The sequence below is a fragment of the Homo sapiens genome, chromosome 14 (assembly GCF_000001405.40).
Source record: "Homo sapiens chromosome 14, GRCh38.p14 Primary Assembly".
NCBI classification, from domain to species: domain Eukaryota; kingdom Metazoa; phylum Chordata; class Mammalia; order Primates; family Hominidae; genus Homo; species Homo sapiens.
The window spans coordinates 103,177,908-103,196,110 of NC_000014.9; the positions used below are offsets into that span (position 1 = coordinate 103,177,908).

Here is an 18,203-nt window from a genome sequence, read left to right on the forward strand (position 1 = left end):
TTAAAGCTTTATATTAATATTTTGAAAAAGTATAGACTCACAGGAAGTTACCAAAATAGTAGAATCCTGTACTCTCCCCAGACCCCTCAATGGTGACATCTTACTAAGGATCAAAACCAGGAATCTGTGCTCTTTTTATTTTTTTATTTTATTATTTTTTTGATACGGAGTCTCACTGTATCACCCAGCCTGGAGTGCAATGGTGCAATCTCGGCTCACTGCAATGTCTGCCTCCCAGGTTCAAGCAATTCTCCTGCCTCAGCCTCCCAAGTAGCTGGGATTATAGGCGCCCGTCACCACGCCTGGCTAATTTTTGTATTTTTAGTAGAGACGGGTTTTCACCATGTTGGCCAGGCTGGTCCTGAACTCCTGACCTCAGGTGATCTACCTGCCTCAGCCTCCCAAAGTGTTGGATTACGGGCGTGAGCCACTGCGCCCAGCCTTGTGCTCTTTTTAAATAGCACCTTATTCAAATATAATTCATGCAGAGTGCACAATTTCCTGGTTTTTATATATCCATAGAGCCGGGTGTCATTTTTAAAGAAAGTCACAATGGAGAATGGGCTGAGCCTCTCTCTGGCCAGGGGTTCCATGAGTGCATGGTGGGGTTTCATGGTTTCCTGGAATGGTATCTGGAGGCCTCTCCCCTCTGCTGCCCCACGGCAGGGCTGCCTGAGCACCGCAGATCGTGCTGAAGTGGGTGGGCAGAACAGGCCCCTCCCGCAGGGGCGCTGAGTGCTGTGATTTGTGCGGACTGTGTTCTGAGAATTACTTTTGCTATTTGAAAGACTATTTAGCCAATTTGGCACAGAATTCCACCAGATTTGCATGTTTTAAGTCATTTATAGCATTGTATGTAACAGTAACATTTAATTTCCATGTAGTTCTAAATATATTTATGACCTACTTATCAAAGTTTTTTAAAAAAGAGATAGTGTTTCCTGGGTAACTTAATTTGATATAGAAACAGAGGGAGCCCAACTCAGTCAGTCTCATAATTGACATAATTAACATACGCACTTGAAAATTGAGTGCAAATAGTTTAAAAACTTTCTGGGGCCTCTTATTGGATTCTCCTTCTTGGGCAGGTCCTGGCTGTCAAATTCTGTCCCCAGCACCCCCAAATCTACAAAGTAGAAGCTCAAGATCTGCAGAGATGGGTAGAAGGCCTCAGTAAGACAGCTAGGTTGACCAACTTGTTCCAGCTCACCTGGGATCTTGCCGGCTTTGAAGTGGAAATCCTGAGGTCTGAGAGCACCCTCAGTTCTAGGCACCCTCAGACTGTTGGTTGTCCTTCCGGCAGCATGCCTGCTTGACTTTGATGTAAACATTTCTTAACACACACACATGCTTCTTACTGTCAACACACTCCAGCTAAAGGCCACTGGACCCACTTGTAGCTGAGCAGTTTGAGCTCATTATGCATTGCAGAGAGGAAGAGCAGCCACCACGGGAAGCGCCAGACACACGCTCAGAGGGGTTAGAAAGAACTTGTGCCCACACTGAGCCAGAGCTGGGGGCTTGGGGGAGGGTGCAAAGAAGCAGAGGTTCTCTGTAATGTGGATGCTGTCAGAACTCAGGGTGGTTCTGTGATCAGGCATCTCGACAAAGCTCCTCTGCGGTGGGCAGAGAAGAATGGAGAACCCATAAAGCAGCTGCTGCCACTCATTTTTGCCAACAGAGGGGCTGGCTGGGAATTTGAGGGGGGCACACTGACCTTGCTTTTGTCTGTGTTCGGACAAAGTTAAGAGTGGCCTTGTCTTGTCTCATTCTGTCACCGTCTCAGAGACACCTCGTCTGATATTGGTGGTCTCTGAGGTGGCTCCTGTCCTACAGGAGAGTAACTCAGCCCAGCTGGGTTGCCACCAGCTTCTGGGGACAGGGCTGCACCTTTTTTCTCCCCCACGAAGCAGGGAAAGGTAAGTAGAATACTGTTAAAATGGGCCAGGCACGGTGGCTCATGCCTGTAACACTTTCAGAGGCTGAGGTGGGCTGATCACTTGAGCCCACGAGTTCAAGACCAGCCTGGGCAATATGGTGAAACTCTGTCTCTACAAAAAATACAAAAATTAGCCAGGCATGGTGGTGTGCACTTGCAGTCCCAGCTACTTGGGAGGCTGAGGTTGGTGGATCGTTTGAGCCCAAGAGGTTGAGGCTGCAGTGAGTGGAGATTGTGCCATTGAACTCAGCATGGGTGGCAGAGTGAGGCCCTGTCTTAAGAAAGAAAGAAAGAAAGAAAGAAAGAAAGAAAGAAAGAAAGAAAGAAAGAAAGAATACAGTTAAAATGAAAACCTGTGTTCCTCAAAGTCACTAATGTCAAATGACAAAATACAACAAATTCAGTTAAGATTGAATAGGTTTTTATCTGCAATTCCAGACTTAGGCAACCCCTCATTCTTAGGAAATAAAAGGAGCATTTGGATGAGCTGAGCAGGAGAGGTTGGCTTTGTAGGCAGGAAAGGTGGAAGAAAGCAGAGACAGAGACCAAAAAGCAGATTGGTCATCTCAAACTTACTTTCCTTGTCATGGTTAAAGCACAGCGGACTTCCCTTATCACACCGGCTAAAACTGGCCTATTTGGGGATTTGGGGGCTCTCTCTCTCTCTATCTCCTGAAAGAGGGTCAGATAAACAACTTAGTTTCTGCTTGGTGGTATGAAACTCCCCGCATGAGTAGCTGCATTTCAGCTTGGTCTGTTGGTCCTAGTGCAGAAGCTCACTCCAAACCAATGGCATCCTCTCCATTCATTTAACACCAGCAATAAAGTAAAAAGAGAGGTTGCACAATTCCAGGAGATACCGTAATACGTGTATCTGAAAAATACTAGTGTCCAGAAAACACAAAGCACTCCTACAAATCAATCATACCAAGGCAGAGACCCAGTAGAAAAACTGGCTTCTTAAAAATTTAAATGGGAATGTCAAAAAAGTAGACTTCTGAATGGCTCATAAGAGTATGAAAAAGTGTTTGACTGGCCAGGCGCGGTGGCTCACTCCTGTAATCCCAGCACTCTGGGAGGCCGAGGCGGAAGGATCACAAGGTCAGGAGATTGAGACCATCCTGGCTAACACAGTGAGACCCTGTCTCTACTAAAAATACAAAAAATTAGCCGGGCGTGGTGGCACACACCTGTAGTCCCAGCTACTCAGGAGGCTGTGGCAGGAGAATGGCGTGAACCCAGAAGGCAGAGCTTGCAGTGAGCCGAGATCGTGCCACTGCACTCCAGCCTGGGCAACAGGGCGAGACTCTGTCTCAAAAAAAAAAAAAAGAAAAAAAAAAGGAAAAATTTCTCAGATGTATATCTCAATGGTTCAACTTTTACTGTATCTTGCTTCATACGATTTATTTTCATTGACTTCAGCTGTTTCTTCCCTGGAAAGGCCTGGAATGCTAACTCTTCCCTTCAGTTTTTTTAGGTCAACTCCTGTAACTTTTTTTTTCAAGAGACAGGTCTTGTTATGTTGCCCAAGCTGATCTCAAACTCCTGGTCTCAAATGATCCTCCCACCTTGGCCTCCCAAAGTGCTGGGATTACAGGTGTGATTCACTGTGCCCAGCCTCCTGTAACTTTTTTCTCTGGTTCTAACTCTGCTTTTACAGACTGTCACTAAAATGTTTATCTGAAAGGCCTAAAAAAGCAATGTTTTCTTCTAGTATAATTTAATTTTGTACTGTTGGCTTTTCTTAAGGTATCTAAATTGTTACGCTAATAACCTTGGACACATTCTTTTTGTGTTTGATTAAATCCAAGTCCCTTTTTCATCAGGTTTGACTTCCAAGTTATCTAAATTAGCTCCTATAAAGAAAAACAATCATACTACAAAAGGTTTTTCTTTACCTTTTGGTAGCTGGTCTAAAACCACAAAAATTTTATGTTTTATCAAGATAATTTTCTATGTTGTCTTTATTAGGCTTGTAATTACTTACAAAAACCTAAGCTTTAAAAGGGTTAAGGTTTTTATATCTATATAACTTTCTGCATTGCTTTCAAAGTCTTTTAATTATCACTCTGGTTAAATAAATATGATTTTACAATGCAACTCTGTTTTGATCAAGTGTTTTGAGCCTTTTAACGTCTTTGACAAACTTCCTGAAAATCAATCCTAAATTCAAGTCTCTTTTGCCTAAAATTAACTTTGAAATTTTTTAGATGGGGCCCTGAAAAGCCTCAAAAAATCTCTCTCTCATCTTATAGAGATACTAAATGATTAGGCTGATTTGGCAAATTACATTTTTTAAATGTCAAATAATAATTCATATTAGATCTTTTAGCTACATAGATGAGTATGTTAATATAAATATTTCAAAAAATATATAACTTTATAAAAATCTAATATGCTGTCAGTCATAATTCATAATTCTGGTTGTTATCGGTTGTTATCTTAAAGTGCTATCTATATGTAGTAGAAATAATTAAGTATCCTTTTCAATTGGAAACTTTCATCAGATTTTTAACCCTGGTGATGTGGTTTGAATATATGTTCTGGCCATATCTCATGTTGAATTGTAATCCCCGGTGTTGGAGGGAGGACCCGTGGAGGTGTTTGGGTCATGGGGGCAGGTCTGTCATGGCTTGGTGCTGCCTCACAATAGTGAGTGAATTCTTCTGAGATCTGGTCGTTCAGTGTGGCAGCCCCCGCACCCTCTCGCTCCTGCTCTGGCCACGTGAGATGCCTGCGTCTCCTTCACCTTCCACCATGATTGTCAGCTTCCTGAGGCCCTCACTAGAAGCTGAGCTGATGTCAGTACCATGCTTCCTGTATCGCCTGCAGAACTGTGAACCAATCGAACCTCTTTTCTTATAAATTACCCAGTCTCTGCTATATATTTCTATACAGCAATGCAAGAACGACCTAACACACATGGCTATGCTAAGTTTTTGTCATTCACTGTTATTATTTTAAACTCTTCTCTAAAAACGTTCACAGTCAGATTCATAGAAAAGACTCCAACAAGTACTCTTAAATACGGATCTCTAATAACTTTAAGATCGATGGACTAAATAAAAATTTCTAAAACTCTTATAAAAATTAATAGATTCATAAAACTAATAAAAATCAAGCAGAACAAAAGTTAATGACATAAAATTAAAGAATAAATGATAAAAATGATAAATAATAAATGATAAAAATATTTTTATAATTTTTATTTAAAATGTTATTGGCTCTTTACTCAAATGTTTTGTCTTCCAGATTTAAGAAAATCTTCTCTTTTAAGCTATCTATAATTTACTACAATTTGATAAAATACATTTTTTTAAACAAAGATAAAAAATTTGTTTTTTCTCCTCACTTGATTCCTCCAAAATGTGAAAACTATACGTGAGTATACTTATGACAATACGGTTATTTATATAAGTCCAATAAAATCTGCTCTGTTTATAACAAAATACAATGAAAAACACCGGTTACATTACCAAGACTGACTAAAATGGCATATTTTAAAATATACATAAAATATCTGACTTCGAGGGTCCTCAGACTTACAGTAAGTTAATAAAAACTGTCATTTTCTGGCAGGCCCAAGAACCTTAGGACTATGAGTAAAATCTAAAGTCTTATTTAGTTTGACTTTCTAGCCTCAAGAGATTTTTCATCTGAAATTCCTATATGATCAAAGTAAAAAGAAGAGTTATAGTCCTTAAAAAAAAAGCTATAATACACCTGTTATTAGATTGTAACTCTATGCACTGTTTTTTTAGTTCTTATCTACTTTAGACTAAATCCTAAATTATTCTAGGTTCCTCCAATCCAACTTTCTTCCATAAAATTAGCAAAATGAAAACTGCTCTGTTCCTGAAGCCCACTAAGCTAAAACTAAACTGATATTACAAAACAAAGTCCAAGGTGGGAGGATCCCTTGAAGCATCACTTGAAGCCAGGAGTTTGAGACCAGCCTGGGCAACAAAGTGAGACCCCTTCTCTGCAAATAATAAAATAAAACGAATTAGCCAGGTGCTATGGCATATATTAATACCTGTAGTCTCAGCTGCTTGGGAGGCTGAGGTGGGAGAATCACTTGAGCCCAGGAGTTAGGCTGCAGTGAGCTATGATCATGTCACTGCACTCCAGCCTGGGCAACATAGCGAGATCTCTGTCTCTACAAAAAATAAGTTAGCTGGGTGTGGTGGCACACGCCTATAGTCCCAGCTACTTCAAGCCTGCAGTAAATTAGGATTGCACCACTGCACCTCCATCCTGGGCAACAGAGCAAGACCCTGTCCCTAGAAAAACAAAAACAAAAACAAACAGTGACCAAAGTGCAGCGTGGAGACCCTCTGCACCCCTCCCTACGAACATGGCACTGAGTGGCGCAGTGTGGGTGGGCTGTGGGCTGCAGCTTGAGCGGGGCCTTGGCACCTGCCATGCCTCACCGGCTGAGGCCTTGGTGGCTGGGGATGGGCACGGTTTGTGCGTGGAACCCGCCCTGCTCTCGGTGCATGAATTCTCGGGGAAACGTGGTTGGAGAACAACAAGAAATGGTATGGGAACCGTGGGAATCAGGCATTTTGCACAGGAAGTATTGGGAGATGTTTTTACTGTAGTCTGCCTGAAGCTGGGACAAAATTGAACAAACAAGATGAATTTGGTGCTTTGGAAAGTGTGAAAGCTGTTCATGAACTCCATTCTCCTTTATCAGGAGAAGTAACTGAAATTAATGAAGCTCTTGCAGAAAATACAGAACTTATTGACAAATCTTGTTATAAAAATGTTTGGCCGATCAAGATGACACTGAGTAACTCTTCAGAACTAGGTGAACTTGGCCGGGCGCAGTGGCTCACACCTGTAATCCCAGCACTTTGAGAGGCTGAGGCAGGTGGATAATCTGAGGTTAGGAGTTTGAGACCAGCCTGGCCAACGTGGCGAAACCCCATCTCCACTAAAATACAAAATTTAGCTGGGCGTGGTGGCAGTTGCCTGTAATCCCAGCTACTCAGGAGGCTGAGGCAAGAGAATCACTTGAACCCAGGAGGCAGAGGTTGCAGTGAGCCAAGATCATGCCACTGCACTCCAGCCTGGGCAACAAGAGCAAAACTGTCTCAAAAAAAAAAAAAAAAAAAAAAAAAAAAGAACTAGATGAACTTATGAGTGAAGAAGCTTATAAAAAATACGGAAAAATCTATTGAGGAGTGAAAATAACCCCTAAATAAACTAGTATGAAATAATTTAAAATATAAAAATAAAAAACAAAATTAATAAAGTAAAAAACAAGTCTTATGCCTGATATATGAACCACACCAAAAGTTCACCAAATTGCACGATGCCGTAATCAGAGACAATCAAACCACAAACCAAGAGGAGCAGTTGACGTTTTCCCTGCTAAAAACAGCTGTTCCAGCAGCCATGGTGCCTGTAGTCCCAGCTACTTGGAAGGCCGAGGCGAGAGGAGTTAAACTTCAGCCTGGGCAACATGATGAGACCTCACTATTTAAAAACAAAAATTGAAAAAGAAACCTAAAAAAGCAGGTTTTCCGAAGACGTTGTTATAAGGCTCCATATAATAATGAGACTCTCACCCTCTCAATGCCATTCTTCATTTGGCAGGATAATGCTATAATTAAAATTTCACAATAAGTAACTGCTATAGGTAACTTGAGAAAACCTGACCTAAAAAAAAAAAAAAAAGAAATCCTTTTAGTCCACCTAGTGGGCAAATTTGGCATTTTCCCTAACACAGTTTTTTGTTCAAATTGTACTGGTGGTCCCTTTTATAAACCTGGCGTTCACAAAGTAGTGATTAATTCGATCCTGTATGAAATACTTCTCAGTGGCTATCACAGGCCTGGCCCAGTCTCCTCCATGGCCTTTTGTTTAATTTGTTGCCCTTAGGCTGGGGCTGTTAGTTCAAAACCACTTCTACGAACTAAGTTTATTATATTGTTGCCAATTTTTTCATTATAATTTTTAAATGTTGTTCTTAGTGCCTGTCTAATCTCAACGAAGCCAACTCTCCTAACAGGATAATACTTGCTCAACACCTCCAGATAATGACTAATGCCTACAAAGCAGATGAAATAAAATGTAATACTGGACTCCAGATGAAACTGCTTTGAGGCCAGGTGCAGTGGTTCACGCCTGCAACCCCAGCACTTTGGGAGGCTGAGGCGGGCAGATCACCTGAAGTCAGGAGTTCAAGACCAGCCTGGCCGACATGGTGAAACCCTGTCTCTACAAAAAAAAAAAAAAAAGAGAGAGAGAGAGAGAGAGGAAAAAAATCAGCTGGGGGTGGTGGCGCATGCCTGTAATTCCAGCTATTCAGGAGGCTGAGGCAGAAGAATCGCATGAAACCAGGAGGCAGAGGTTGCAGTGAGCCAAGATAGTGCCACTGCACTCCAGCCTGGACTACAAGAGCAAAACTACATCTCAAAAAGGAAAGAAAGAAAGAAAGAAAAAAAGTAACTGCTTTGAGACATTTTTTCCTTCTGGCCTCGTTATTACACAAATGTGGCCCAGGTTGCTGACTTAGACCCCGCCATGTTCCCTCCAATGTGGGACAGAGACAGCTGGCACAAGCCCATTACAGCCCCAGGGACAGATAAGCCTGGCTGCAGAACGGCTGGTTAGCGATGCTTTCAGAGAAATATCTTGATCAAAAGAGAAAAATGTAAAGCTAATCACACAAATTGGGTCATTCTTGTCCCACCCAACCAAGGGTCAAGAGGCCAGCGGGAAGGAGCACTCAGGGCACATAGAATTTCTCCAAGAATGTCATTCTCTGTAAGACCGGCTGCTGAAACTGCTGCCACCTGAAACCAGTTTACCTAATGCCTACTAAACAACCTGCTGACACGACTCGTTTTACCCTCTGCCCTCACTCATCAGTCGGAGCTTGCCAGCTCCCCAAACTCACCAGTGCCAATGAGCTTTCTTAAAGAGCAGTAGTAATATTTCTCCTCTTTATAAAACCTCCAGCCTTTCTTCATTCTTTGGACATCCTAAAGACCACTCACGCTACAGATATCCACAAATTACACTTCTTTCCCCAAATAAAACATTTTAATTTTGAGGATTCATCTCTGTATTTAACTTCGACACTGATAACAGGGAAATACGCAGCAAAGACACCTCAACCCCCAGGGGTCCCCTTCTAAGCACTCCCTCCCCCAGTCAGCCCAGACTTCCTAGGGGCGGGGAATGGCTGGGCAGCTCCACCTGTGACAATGGACTCTGCCCCGTCCCTGATCGAAATGACTGACAGCAAGCTCTCCTTCAGGCCTGGCCTCCCCGGAGTTCTCACTTAGCAAATGGCTTTCTAATGAGAGCACAGGAATTTGTCCCTATGTGTGGACTGACAATGAATAAAAGAAGCAGAAATCCATGGTGAACTTTATTTCAGCGAATAGAGGACAAAGATCAGCGACAGCTCCTGTGGGATTCGGGAGATTTGTCAGCCACGTAGGCATAGAAGATGGGAAAATGGGATCCACTTTTTTCCCCTTTGGGGCCAACCTGGCAATTTGTGTGCAAAGCACAGGAATTCCACACAAGGAATTTGGCGTAATAGAAGTAATTAGGGCTGGGCGTGCTGCCTCATGCCTGTAATTCCAGCACTTTGGGAGGCCAATGCAGGAGGATTGCTTGAGCCCAGGAGTTGAAGACCAGCCTGGGTACCATAGCAAGATCCTATCTCTACCAAAACAAAACAAAACAAAACAAATTAGCTGGGTGTAGTAGTGTACACCTGTCTAAAAAAAAAATGTAATTAGTAACAGGAATGCTCCAAACTCAGGAAAAAAAACAAAACAATATTTTTAAACTGCTAAGAAGACCAAAAATTATTTCAAAACCATGAGGTAAAATGACAGAGGTCCTGGTGAGGAGAGGACTTTATCAAGGGTGTAATGGAAGACGCTGGGCATGATTCACATGTTGTGGAGACCCCTGGAGAAGGGGGGCTAGAGTCAGGCAGGGGTGTGAGTGACCCAGGCACAGAAGTGGGGCAGGAGGGACTTGGGACCCTCCTTCTGAAGCTCCCCAGGAGGCTCCTCCTTTTACCTGCCCTTGATCCTGGAGTCCTCTCTGCCAGAGACAGGAGGCCACATGGTTCTCACCACCAGGCTAGTGGACAAATCCCTTTGTTTCCAGGGTGGGCCTGGAAGGGATTAGGTTACTTTCTGGTCCACACCAGAGGCTCCCCTAGAAGGCAGACAGCCCCAGGGACTGACTCAGGGACCCAGAGGCTGGGATGGGGGAGGCCAGGGAGTGAGGCCAGGGCAGGCAGCTGTGGGGGCTGGGCTGGGGAGAGGAAACAGTACTGGGGCAGAGGGGACGCCTGTAATCCCAGCACTTTGGGAGGCCGAGGTGGGAGGCTCATTTCAGCTGAGGAGTTCAAGACCAGCCTGGGCAACATAGCGAGAACGGTTCCTGGGGGAAAAAAAAAAAAGAAAAAAAGCATGAAATACAATGTGTCTATATTGAAATCTGTACTGTAATTGAGATGAAATACTGTGGAAAAACTCAAGGAATTTACCTAAATGCTCCGCAATCTAATTCCAAATACCAATGGTAATTCTCAATACCTAATTAGGAAAACATCACAACCTGCATTTGAAGAAAAGAGTAACGTTCAACTTCTAACGAGGCGTGCGATCATTTCGGCACTTGGAACATGAAACAAAGTCAAAACATTTTCAGGCAAGGTGAATTGCTGATCAAGTATCAGATGTCCAGGTCTGCTCCCCTTACCGTTGCGATTGATTCACCACTACATCTCTTCTGAAAGTACCACACGGTGTGGAATCCTCAACTTAAGTACAAAACACGACGAAACTGATTAGGAAAATCCATTTGTCAACTGTGGGAGGCTCTGGATGTGTAGAGTACCTAGACTGTGGTAACCCCTCCACCCTGCGTGCCTCCATCACATCATCCAGCTGTTCACCTTAAATAAATACAATTTCTATCCATCAATTACACCGCAATAGAGCTGGGGGCCATTTTTTAAAAACTTCCTCTGGCATGCAGCAATTGATAAGAACTTGCAAAGCTGAGAAGGCACCGATTTAAAACTCGCGCCAACGCGGCTGCGCGCCTTGTCCTCCGCCCAGGAACCCTGGAGGCCACGGCCTCGCCCGGCTCCTGCGCTGGCACTGGACGTCCCGCCGGCTGTACCTGGCGCCCCGTGGCCTCGCTCCCGACCGCTGCCCCGCAGAGGCCTCCCGACCGCCGAGGCCCTCGCCACGCCCGGGTGCCCCCAGGGGGCGCCGGCTTCCACCCACAGAGCTCCCCAGGCCTGGGCGGGCGCAGGGAGGGCGCGACCGGGGCGCACCCGCGCGGGAACTTGGCAGAGACTCGCGGGACGTGGCGGGGGCGCCTCAGGAAACGCGCCGCGGGGCTGCGGGGTCGAGGGGAGGGGACTAGTGTGCAGGGGCCACCCTCTCCCCAGCCCCGCCCCCCGAGTCCAGCTCCGCCCCTGATGCGTACCTGGCGGGACTGGGTCCCAGGGGCTCTCCGCGCTCCTTCTGGGGGCGCCACGTCCGGACCTTGTCCCCTGCTGAGGACTACCTCGCGGGCCGGGCGGGGTGAAGGGCGCTGTTAAGAAGGACAGTCCCGGGGAATGAGGGGCGAGGGGGAGAACGGGGTCGCCGGGTCGGGAGAAGATGACAGACGGGGCAGAGTAGAGGCTGCAGAGGGTCGCCCGGAGAGCGCGGGGGTCCCCCCACCAGCATCCCGTCGCCGCTTCCCGTCTGACCCCACCCGCTCCCCGTCCCCGCTTCCCGTCTGACCCCACCCGCTCCCCGTCCTCGCTTCCCGTCGGACCCCACCCGCTCCCCGTCCCCGCTTCCCGTCGGACCCCAGGGCAGGTGGGAACGAAGAAGTGAGTTGGGTCCCCGCTGTGGGCCCTCGCCCTCTCAAGCCGGGCCGTCTCCAGGGCTTCAGGTTGGGGAACGGGCTCCTGTGGCCTCCAGCAGGCTCTTCCACTCGGGGCCTGGGTTTCAACTCAGTCCTCTCCCACCACCTTTTCCATGTGTCTTCAACGCCCTTCTTCAGCCGGGGTGACCCGAACTGCCCAGAGGGCTTGCAGCCTTCAGGGACGCAGTTTCCAGTTTCTGGGCGCCCATATGGACACTCCCCTGAAGCCCGCCTCCCCTTCCCCTGGGAGCAGGGGCCTTGCAGGTTCTCCCACCGCTCACCTTGCACTTGCTTCCTCCGCCTGTACAGGGAAAGGCCCACCCAGCTCAACCCAAAGGCCCAGGGCCCCTTGGTGGAAAACCCCAAGGGGGACAAACAAAAGACCTCTGCAATCTGGTTTAGAGTAGACAAAGCTTCCCTTAAGCAAGTGATCTGTTAGGTTTTGTGTCCCCACCCAAATCTCGTCTGGAATTGTAATCCCCATAATCCCCACGTGTCAAGGGGGAGACCAGATGGAGGTCATTGAATCATGGGGGCGGTTTTCCCCATGCTGTTCTCGTGATAGTGAGTTCTCACGAGATCTGATGGCTTTATAAGGGGCTCTTCCCATTGCTCAGCACCTCTCCTTGCTGCCTTGTGGAGAAGGTCCCTTGCTTTCCCTTTGCCTTCCGCCATGATTGTAAGTTTCCTGAGGCCTCCCCAGCCATGCTGAACTGTGAGTCAATTAAACCTCTTTCCCTTATAAATTACCCAGTCTCAGGCAGTTCTTTATAGCACATGAAAACGGACTAATACAGCAGTTCACCACAAACCCAAGGCAGGCTTCAGTCTTTTTCCGTCCTGTACCTAGTTCATTTAAGAACACACTTAGAGTTAGAAACTGGATACTTTGGCCCTCGTTGAGGATACGGACATATATGTACACACATATGTACACTCACACATCTATGGTGTAAAGTGGCAGCCATGACAGTCCCTTCACCTGACTTGTCTAGAAATGCTCAGCTCCTGAGGCAGTGACCCTAGAGGGACAGAGAGCGTGTCTGGGAGAAATGTGGAAGGGTCAGCTGCGTCCAGTGGGCTTCGTGAGGCACCGCACCTGCCTTTTCCAGGTCGAATATTCCAAGTGGAACTCAAGCAAGATGGATCTAATGGGGAACTTGTGGGGAGTCTCCGGGTCTGATGCTGGAGTCGTGTCCACAGGGTAGGCCACGAGGAAGGGAACTTCAGGAGCAGCTGCCGCCCCGAGAAGACAGACTGAAACCCATATCAGTTCCTGTTCCTTCTGACCTTGGGTGCTAGGGTATTCTACAAAAGTTAGTTTAGTTTTGTTTTTGAGACGGGGCCTCAATCCATCACCCAGACTAAAGTTCAGTGACAGGATCATAGCTCACTGCAGCCTTGAACTGCTGGGTTCAGGTGATCCTCCTGCCTCAGCCTCCCAAGAAGGTGAGATTACATGTGCCAATGCACCCTGTCAGTTTTTGTTTATTTTTGTTCAACGCCTTTAATGTAATCAGCCTGGTAATTTTTAAAACCCTTTTTTTTTTTTTTTTTTTTGCAGAGAGGGGGTCTTGCTATGTTGCTCAGGCTGGTCTTCAACTCCTGGGCTCAAGTGATCCTCCTCCCTGGGCATGCATAAGCCACCGTGCTGAGCCCAAGCCAGTATTTTTATTTAGTAACTCATTGTTTTTAAATAATATTTATGTTATATCTTCTATCTGCTAATCTTACAGCCTGAAAATGAGGTTGTTCTGGCTTGCTCTTGGCCTCGAGGGAAGGCGGACCACTCCAGAGCAGCTGGCTTCCATTGCTGTGTGGCCCTATAAGCATCTTTCAGCCTGGGCACTTAATATTGATTTCTTAGCTTGTTGGTTCCAGGGCCTCAAAAAAAATGATGTTCAGTTTAAATCCAAACACACAAGAGGATGGGGAACCTGTCACAAATCTTAGGGGAGACACTTTTATTGTTTGTCTTAGTGAGAGCCCTGGGTAGAAAAATTTCTTTCTCACCTCTGCTTGCTGATGGTCGCAAAATGAATTCACCTTTTCACTGAGTGTGTGTATATATATATATATATATATATATATATATATATATATATATATGTATATATGTATATATGTATATGTATATATGTATATATGTATATGTATATATGTATATATGTATATATGTATATATATATATATGGCCCTTCTAGGATGCACACCTGTGTGGAAGTCCTAGTCTCCTTTACAGCCAGAGCTCAGGGCTCCTGAGATGAGGAATTCCTCTGGGGCAGCAGCTGCATCAGCGTCAGTGGCCACGTACGTTTCCAGCAGCTTTGTTGTTTGGAAGATTTCCTTTTTTTCCCCAGTTGCATCTATGCAAGAATGGATTTTGTAATATTTAATTCAGAATGTCTAGCCTCAAAAGATTTTTCAAGTTATCTGACCTACTTTATTGTTGGGAAGGAAATAACCACTTGTCTTGTGGTGGTTCCATCCTGTTTGTCTACACTGTTGTGCCGTTTGTCTACACTGTTTTGTCTACACTGTTGTGCCCATTGGCAGAAACTCCTCAGCATGGTTGTGGCATTTCCAGTGTTCCCAGAGCGGGCCTCTGTCTGGTCCTCCCAGAAGTCTCTGCAGTCACTCCCCACTGACGCCAGTAGCAGCTGCTTATTTCCCAGGAATGCCATTCCCTCCCCATGCCCAGAGGCACTAAGACCCCAGTTTCCTCCCAATTGGGAAGAGACCTGGAGGGCAGAGGGATTCTCTCTGGCATAGGGCCAAAGGCTCAGAGAGGAGTCCAAGGCTTCCTGGCCCAGCCAGGCCTGTGGAGTAAGATGAGGTCAGGAGATAGGGACAGAGGAGCCCCTGGGATATGGGTGGCACTTGCCGCCTGCAGGAAGCTCACGTTCTGACCTGCAGTTCCCTGTGATGAACTTCAAGAGGGAACTTACTGGGGGAACTCACCACCAATATTTCAACGTAAGTTCTTTCTATTTTCCACAAGTGTCAGCCAGCTGAGAAACATAGAGGGACAGTACAAAGAGAAGAATTTTACAGCTGGGCCGCTGGGGATGACATCACATATCAGTAGGACTGTGATGCCCGCCTGAGTCTCAGACCAGCAAGTTTTTATTGAGGGTTTCAAAAGAGGAGGGGGTGTAAGAACAGGGAGTAGGTACAAAGATCACATGCTTCTGAGGGAACAGGACAAAGGGCAAAAGCAGAACTACTGATGAGGGTCTATGTTCAGCGGTGCACGTACTGTCTTGATAAACATCTTAAACAACAGAAAACAGGGTGCAAGAGCAGAGAACTGGTCTGACCACAAATTTACCAGGGTGGAGTTTCCTAACCCTAGTAAGCCTGAGGGTACTGCAGGAGACCAGGGTGTATCTCAGTCCTTATCTCAACCGCATAAGACAGACATTCCCAGAATGGCCGTTTATAGATCTCCCCCCAGGAACTCATTCCTTTCCCAGGGTATTAATATTAATATTCCTTGTTAGGAAAAGAATTTAGTGATATCTTCCCTACTTGCATGTCCATTTATAGGCTCTCTGCAAGAAGAAAAATATGGCTCTTTTTGCCCGACCCTGCAGGCAGTCAGACCTTATGTTTGTCTTTCCTTGTTCCCTAAAAATCGCTGTTATTATGTTCTTTTTCAAGGTGCACTAATTTCATATTGTTCAAACACACATATTTTATAATCAACTTGTACAGTTAACACAATTATCACAGTGGTACTGAGGTGACATACATCCTCAGCTTACGAAGATAACAGGATTAAGAGATTAAAGTAAAGACAGGCATAAGAAATTATAAAAGTATTATTTGGGAACTGATAAATGTCCATGAAATCCTCACAATTTATGTTCCTCTGCCGCGGCTCCAGCTGGTCCCTCCGTTCGCGGTCCCTGACTTCCCGAAACAGGAATTCCCACTGGGGCTGCCTAACTCTGGTCAGTGAGACCAAATCTGTGATGTAGGAATAAGAAGATCCATGGTGCAGCCACCAAAGTTATCTGCTCCAGCCCAGACGTGATCTGTGACAAAGCTGGCGCTTTCATGTGCATGTTCTTGAGTCCCGTTTGTCATGTTATTTCTGGACTGGTTGGGTCTTGGGCAGGAGGAAGGAGGCTGTCACTTACTGGGTCTTTCCTCTCCTTACATTAACACTACATTGTTCCATGTTATGCTGTAAGCTTTTCAGCTGTAAAGAGCCTCAACAAGCAATTAGCAAATTCATTTCATTAGAATATTAGAAAAATAGGCCAGGCAGCCTGGGTATGGTGGCTCACGACTGTAATCCCAGCACTTTGGGAGGCCAAGGCAGACGGATCACTTGAGGTCAGGAGTTCGAGACCAGCATGGCCAACATGGTGAAACCCCATCTCTACCAAAAATACAAAAATTATATGGACGTGGTGGCAGGTGCCTGTAATCCCGGCTACTTGGGAGGCTGAGACATGAGAATCACTTGAGCTCAGGAGGTGGAGGTTGCAGTGAGCCAAGATCATGCCACTGCATTCCAGCCTGGGTGACAGAGGGAGACTCTGTCTTAAAAAAAAATTATATATATATAAAATATACCAGCCTAAATTAGGGTTTAATTCAGGAAGACGAGCATTGGTTCAGTCACTCAACAGATCAGATATATCAACTTGGCTATGATGCAACAAACACATTCCTAAAATGCGCTGGGCTATGCAAAATTGCACAATAAAAACCACAGGACTTACAAGGAAAAAACGAGGTTGGGGAAGGACACTCAAAACACCCCATCAGTGACACAATTTTTTTAAATGATAGGAACCTAATAAAGAGGGTAGAAGGGTTTTACATGCTAAATTGTTGAGGAATACATCAATACTACAATGAGCATGGCACTTTATTTGAAGGCCTGAAGTTTGCTTGTGGAGTAGATGGAGGAAGGGGTATAGCCTGTGAGATGCCCGAAGCAGGGAACAGGGTCCCCTGGGTCACTGGAGAAAACATGGTTTGGCTCTGTGTTGCCACCCAAATCTCATCTCGAATTGTAATCCGAATGTGTCAGGGAAGGGACCGGGCGAGAGGTGATTGGATCATGGTGGTGGATTTCTCCCTTGCTGCTCTTCTGATAGCGAGTGAGTTCTCATGAGATCTGATGGTTTAAGAGTATGGCACTGGCCAGGCGCGGTTGCTCCCGCCTGTAATCCCAGCACTTTGGGAGGCCGACGCGGGCAGATCATGAGGTCAGGAGTTTGAGACCAGTCTGGCCAATATGGTGAAACCCCGTCTCTACTAAAAATACAAAAATTAGCTGGGTGTGGTGGTGTGCGCCTATAGTCCCAGCTACTCGGGAGGCTGAGGCAGGAGAATTGCTTGAACCGGGACCCCAGAGGCAGAGGTTGCAGTAAGCCAAGATCGTGCCACTGCACTCCAGCCTGGGCTACAGAAAGAGACTCTGTCCCACCCCACTGTCTCTCTCCTGCCACCATGTAAGACATGCCTTGCTTCCCCTTCACCTTCCTGCATGATTGTAAGTTTCCCAAGTCCTTCCCAGCCATTTGGAACTGTGAGTCAATTAGACCTCTTTTCTTTATAAAGTACACAGTCTTATGTAGTTCTTTATAGCAGTGTGAAACTGGACTAATGCTCAATGGGTATGGCTCACAACCCAGCGGGAAACTGAGGCCACTGGCGGATTCTGAGGTGTGTGCACATGCACTGTGTGCATTCCTGTGCACCTCAGTTCCACTGGGGGTGTTTCTGGTGTTCACCTGGTGTTTCCTACAGACAATCACACATAAGCAATTGCAAAATTCATGTTGTGCTCAAATTGTTCCCTAATTGTCCAAATGCATTGGAACGAATTGACATTTTCTTTTTTTCTTTTTTTTTTTTTTTGAGATGGAATCTCATTCTGTCACCCAGGCTGGAGTACAGTGGCATGATCTCAGCTCACTGCAACCTCCACCTCTGGGGTTCAAGTGATTCTTCTGCCTCAGCCTCCCAAATAGCTGGGACTACAGGCGCACACCACCACACTGGCTAATGTTTATATTTTTAATAGAGATGAGGTTTCACCGTGTTGGTCAGGCTGGTCTCAAATTCATGACCTCGTGATCCACCCGCCTCGGCCTCACAAAGTGCTGGGATTACAGGTATGAGCCACCGCACCCAGCCGAGTTTACATTTCAAAGCAAGCACTGTAATAGAATTGCAGTCATGTAATACCCACCATGTGATAGGCGCTGTGCTAGACGCTGCAGACGCAGCAGCGAGCCATGTGCAGCCCCACCCTCGTAGGAGTTACCTGGCAATGGGGGAAGCAATCAACAAATCAATAATCTCATTTCAGGTGATGAGAAGTGCT

General features: G+C 45.9%; 1 long non-coding RNA gene and 1 pseudogene across 1 annotated transcript, besides 1 other annotated feature; one reads left to right on the forward strand and one right to left on the reverse strand.

Moving 5' to 3' along the window:
• On the forward strand, positions 6,250-7,164 carry GCSHP2 (GCSH pseudogene 2; annotated as a pseudogene).
• On the reverse strand, positions 9,314-11,121 carry LINC00605 (long intergenic non-protein coding RNA 605). The gene is made up of 3 exons (NR_033938.1): positions 10,685-11,121; positions 10,470-10,540; positions 9,314-10,363 (listed from the first exon to the last, which is right to left on the reverse strand). It is a non-coding gene; the product is annotated as a long intergenic non-protein coding RNA 605 (long non-coding RNA).
• Positions 11,190-11,239: a silencer, noted in NCBI's record as "silent region_6147". NCBI's record gives its function as "represses an Ori minimal core promoter by ATAC-STARR-seq in GM12878 lymphoblastoid cells {active_cell/tissue: GM12878}" and the evidence as "EXISTENCE:reporter gene assay evidence [ECO:0000049][PMID:35858748]".